This window comes from Homo sapiens, chromosome 7, assembly GCF_000001405.40.
Source record: "Homo sapiens chromosome 7, GRCh38.p14 Primary Assembly".
NCBI classification, from domain to species: domain Eukaryota; kingdom Metazoa; phylum Chordata; class Mammalia; order Primates; family Hominidae; genus Homo; species Homo sapiens.
In genome coordinates, this window is record NC_000007.14 from 26,365,801 (window position 1) to 26,371,809 (window position 6,009).

The 6,009-nt window shown below is 36.9% G+C and overlaps 1 protein-coding gene across 11 annotated transcripts in view; it reads left to right on the top strand.

Annotated features, from left to right (window-relative positions):
- The window catches only part of SNX10 (sorting nexin 10), an 82,522-nt gene that overhangs the window by 73,939 nt on the left and 2,574 nt on the right, over positions 1-6,009 (top strand). The window lies entirely within an intron of this gene.

Consider the following 6,009-nt stretch of genomic DNA (forward strand, 5'->3'; position numbering starts at 1 on the left):
GACTCCGAGGCCAGGCTACCTGAGTTCAGATCCTCGCTCTGCCACTTACTAGCTGGGGGCTTGGGCAGATCATTTACCTCCTCTGCCTGTGTCTTCCCATCTATAAAATGGGGTAATCATAGTACCTACCTCATAGGGTTGTTGAGAAGATTAGACAAGTTAGTGACTGTAAAGCACTCATGACAGTGTCTGGCATGCAGTGTGTGCTATCTTCATGTTGGCTGTTATTATCTTAATGCACTTAGACATGAGACAGCTTTTGCTTTCCTAATTTCCAATTTTGTAGATAAGGAAATAGGCTGAGTCATATGACTACTAGTTACTGACAGGACCCAGTCTCCTGAACTGTTTCTTTTTCTAGTAGTTTCAGGATCTGAAGTCATCTCCTTTGGGGTTCACTAAATAGGACCTTAGAGCTAGCCTGAAATAAATATACTGCCTCCTCCCCATTTGGCTCTCTCATAAAGGGTTTGGATATTAAGTATGCACATTAATATTAATATTTATTTCTATTAGATTGACTTAGTGCCTTTTCTTTGAAGGTGTCCTAGAGGCATACAGAAAGATCCAAGATTATAAATTGAGGGAGAGTGGGCCAATGAAGAGAAGCCAGAGGAATAAACATGGCAAGAGACCAGAAGAACTGATTAGCAGAGCCAAGTCCTCCGAAAACATTTCATTGTATTTTTGGGGGGTATCACAGGCATGGCAGGACAGAGACCTGGCCAAGTTTTTCCTGCCCTTTCCCCTAGAGGAGGCCTCTGATTTTAATTGTTGTCTCTATGAGGCCCAGGTGGCTGATGGCCTCTCCCTTGAGATGTGGTCCCTGCCACACAATTCTACAGAATTGCCTGTCACTCTAGTGTAGGACATGTTGTCCTCGGGGAGCTGTGGCATCTTGTCTTCTGTAGGGAAGTCTTATTTCAGGTCAGAAGGCAGCACGTACCTCTGAATTATATTGCTGGTTAAGTGCAGGGTATGTGTTTTTGACCAGGAATTACTTCGTTGTTTTGAACACAACCTTTCTATCCACAGTTGATCTACCCAAATGAATGACCCTGTGAGTGTCATTCAGCCATAGTGGGGTTATGCTTGTGCCAGGTTATTTTTGCATAGTGCATGGTTTGACTGTTTGCTGGTTGTGTTTGATGCAGATGTCATAGTAGAAAGTGTCCTGGTTCAGGAACTCAAGGAGCCGGGTTCTAGGTCTCCCATAATCATGGTTCCTGGTTTTTTTTCTAGCTGCATGTGAGCCTTGGAACAGTCACTTCATTCCTTTTAAGCCTTTGTTTGCTATAGAGTGGGATAATAGTACCCACACATAGCCAACCTCACTGGGTGGTTGTGTCCTACAGATGAAAAGGACTTGAAAAAAACTCTAAAAACCATGCAGCGATCCTTCATTCAATAGATGTTTATTAAGTGAATGCTTTGGGCCAGGCTGCGTGCCACGGACATAGGACTGCACAGAATGAACAAGTCCTTGTCCTGACACTTCCTTCTAGGGGGAGCACTGTGTACACATCCAGGGCTACGGCTAGATTCATTAACACTGAATCTGGATTGTCATCCGATTGGATTGTCAAATCATGGAATTGGCAGGGGGTTCTCTTGTGATATCATTTGTTCCCCTGTGGTATGTGAACATTTGTCTACAAGTTAATATTTCACTTTAAAAATGAAAGCTGGTGCTTCCACACAGCCTAAACCTGAAGGAAGTGAGGAGTCAAATACCACAGGGCTGGCTTCAGGCCTGAACTGAGCTCTGCGGCCCCTGCTGACCCTCCCCAGCCTCCCTTCTGTGTCCCTCAGATCTGTGCTTGCCCGGGTTGTGTAAGGTAGTACCCTCCATGTCTTTGCCCCTGGTGCCCCCTCCCCTCACCCAACCAGGGTCCACTCTAGGGAACTGGATGTGATGTGTACCTTGGCACTGTGTCTTGGCCCCAGTTTGACATCCTCTGAGCCCCCACTGGTTACCTGTTAAGTAGGGCCAGCCATCAATAGCCTGTACCTTGTTTGTAGAGGAATTTTAGGAACCACAGCATTAAAACATGGAAACATGCTTGTATTGTAGGTTTTTCGCATGCATTTTTAAAGCCTGGTTTTCATGTGAGTTTTGAAGTTATGAACCAGAAGCACTAAATATGTTCAAACCTTTTGAAACCACAATGTCTTTGTATATGTGTATATATACCTATTTTTCTTTAAGGTCATTTGTGAAATGATACATATGTAATAAGAAAGTACTGATCTTTGTAGAGGAATTGGAAAATTGTTTCTTTGACTAGGTGCCAAATAAGAATAATTTCTACCATTTATCGAACACTTTCTACGTGTTTGGCATTTTACATGTTTTAGTCTCAGTACTAAAAATCTTAGGAGTTGGGTATTATCTCAGTTTTATAGATAAAGAAATTATAGGAAAGATGGACATACTATATGAATCCCAGAACCTGGCAAATTTAAAATTAGCAGTACTCTTAAATGCTGGCTAAATTTGGTATGATTGTGAGATTTTTCAAATATATTCATTTTTCTTCAGTCTTAACTATAATCTCCCTTTTGTATTCTTGCCCCTGAGTAATTATAAACTTAAAGTCCCTTCTAATAGTTATGAAAAGAAAGTTATAGGCTAAAAAATATAAACTCAGTAAGTCTCTAACTATGAAAAATGGAATTCCTACTAATTTTTAGGTTTGAATGGGATTTTCAATTTAGGTTTGAATAGATTTGTTCATGACTGGGAGCCGCTTCCCTTCTTTACTGAATTCATCCCATTAATACAACTACATTTACCCTACAGTTTAGACTTTAGTATCATGGTTTTGTATTTCTTCAAATATTAAGGAATATTAAAGATTTTTTACAAAAGGCTAGTGTTGAACCATGACAGCTAGTTTTACACACACACGATTTTTATGTCTTTGTGTTCAATAGAGGGCACCACAGCATAGATCATGAATGTCTTCAATGAAGATTTGTAGGTTTTATTTTTTCTTATAGTAAGAGCTAAACAGGCTGAGTTAATTTTTTTTTTCTACATCAAACTGCTAACCTTCCATGTACTATGCAGTTATGTATATATATCATTGTATTGGGTTCAGCAGACCCAGGACATCCTTAGTTAGGATGAAATGATTTTGCATAGCTATATATTCTCAGCTAAACCAGCATATAATACATCTAATAAAATCATGTTGAGGAAAACTGTGCTTTTCAACTGTGTCCAGTTTAGGGAAAAAAAACAGATTTTGCTTTGTTTAGTCTAAAACTGTTATGGGGAAAGGAATAACTTCTGATTTGCACTATAAATATCTTTCTAGAAATTCTTTTAAAATCCTAGAGGCTATTTTTTATTCCTTTTATAAAGGTTTGAAAATCATATACTTTTTAAATGGAGGTTTCTACAAATGACATTTTATTGACTGTTTTACAAAGTACTCTTTATATTAGGTTTGAAATTGATTTTGGGCTATTAGATTTGTTTGTGGAAAATATGGCACAAACATGACTAAGGAAAAAATAGTATTTAATATTATGATGGTGGCAGTCACAGCCCTCTCTGATAGTAAGCCAAATAGTACTCAAAATAAATTAATTATGCTCACCTAACCAGATGGGAAAACACTCTCAAAAATTTTCATTTTAAATTTCAGAATGAACTATCTGACTAAAATAAGCATATAAATACATTTAAAAATTATTTTTGCTTATTTAAAACTCATGGAGTATGGTGGCATGAATTTAGCCAGAGAAACAGAGGAGATTCCAAAAACCAAAACTGTACCTAGCCGACTCACTGGTTTGAACTCTAGGCCTGGGGGAGTGTTCAGATGTCCCCTCCCCAGCCACATCTTTCTGGCTCTTTGGAATTGTGAGCTGGGTGAGCCTGGCTCCTTCTCTTTTCATCTGTGTGTCCTCCAGATGGCAGTATTGAGCAGAAAAAGAAAACGCTGGGAAATAATGAGTCTAATGTACAGTAAAATTGGAAATTGAATTATAGCTCAAGAAAAAGGACAGTAGCCTTGAGGTCCCGATCAACCTGGACTCTGATCACTTTTGTTTGCTGTACCCATGTGTTAAGTTACTAGCAAGTTAATAACAACACGTGAGCAGTTCAAGGCTCAGTAGAATTGCTTCAGACATGAAATAAAGCTAAAATGAATTTGTGTCCAATATCATTGGCATTAGTGCTCATTACTGTTGTGGTGTAATGCCTCAAACCATCTAAAATCAATTTTAAAGATTACCCATTATTTTATAAAGAAAATAAAACACATTTCCAACAGAAACAAAGCCACGAGTACAATCCCATGAACAGTTCCTTGTACTTATGGCAGGCAGGAAACCGCTGACAGAGGCCACAGGAAACACTCTGCTCAGACTTCACAGACTTCACGATCCAAGTTCGTATTAATGGATTGTTGCTCTATAACTCTTCTCTTAATCTGAAGTATTTAAAAACAAGAATGGTGAATATTTGTAAATGTAGAAAATAAATCTCAAAGAGTAGTAAGAGGGATTTACTACTTAGCTACTTGTACTTGGTAAATTAATCATTATCATGTGACATGGTCATCTTTTGGGAGGACCCAGGGCGGAGGACACAGAGGGAAAAAGAAGGATTTAGCTGCTTTGCTTGAGGTTTTGCCTTTTAAAAAGCACAAAGGTTTTACTTTTCCTTCTAATAGACCAGTAAAGAATATTTTCTCAAACTGTAAACCTGCTGAAGCAAAGGGGACAGCTAGATTTTGGTTTTAATACTGTGCATTTTTAGGCATTTTTGCCTTTGTTAAGAAATAATTGTTTTATTTTGTAGAAAAGGATTTGGTATTATAATGACCTTGGATTTTCACTAAATTGATATTAATGGCCAAAAGAGATTTACTTTCCTTATTACTTGTTTAAACAAGCAGAATATAAGGTAAGGTTCATTTGGTCTGAAATACATGATCTATTTTTCACAGATCGTTATATCGGAAAAATCTTATGTTGGACAAAATTCTACTTGGGTTTTAGTGTGTTAGTTTTGTCCCCTGTATCTGGTCTTAGTGTCTCCTCTTACATAATTATTGAACTATCAGTAGAGACTAAATGATCATATGTCAACATCTTTGCTAAAAGATAAACCAGTTTTTATTTAAATATAAAGGTATACTTTGATTTGATTTCATATTCTAAGATGTGCATTTCAGAGAAAACACATTCACTAATATGAATTTGAGCATCTGTAGATTTTGCTACAGGATAGTTTTTAATCTTCCATGTAGTTCTGATGCCCTGGTTGAAATCTGTTCTGTCTTTGTAAACTTTGATCTTAAATGTGGGAAGAGCAGTATGTATTCATCACAAAATTATCATATTTTAATTATATATATGGTAAAGTTGGCTGGGATCAATTTTATTTGGTTGCTCATTTTGACAACACAGAGATTCAGTGCTCCTAAAGATTTTGGAGAAATTTACAGTTAACCTTAAGTATTAAAAAAAGCCATCTCTCTCATGAGCTGTCGTAAACATGCCCTTAAGTATATAACTGTAAAGTTTTAAAATGTAAAATATGCTGAGAATTGTATTTTCTTCATATAATTTTTAATAGTAGTTGAAAGTTTTGATGTTTCATGACAGCCTATCCCATAAAGATCACTGAATTGACATGCTGTTGGCAGTAAATTTTTTAAAGTAGAATAACTTTCTATGACTATATAAGCAAAATATTTCCATAATTAATCCACATGGTAATAAGAGATGGGTAAATTGAAGAAATGTCCTTGAAGTTATTCTTTTAACAGATGTTCTTAACTATTAGCTTCATGTTTTTACCCACCTAAATTTCCAAATAATTGAATAAAAGTTAACATATGCTTTCCTCCCCTTAATGGGCAGAGCCCATAATTGATACAAAGTTTACCACAGTAGAGAAATTACCTTCAGTGGTACTTTTCTAATGTTTTTCTTTCTTCTACCCTATCACTGACCATCCTGTTCACCAATTATTTTTCCTTTTTT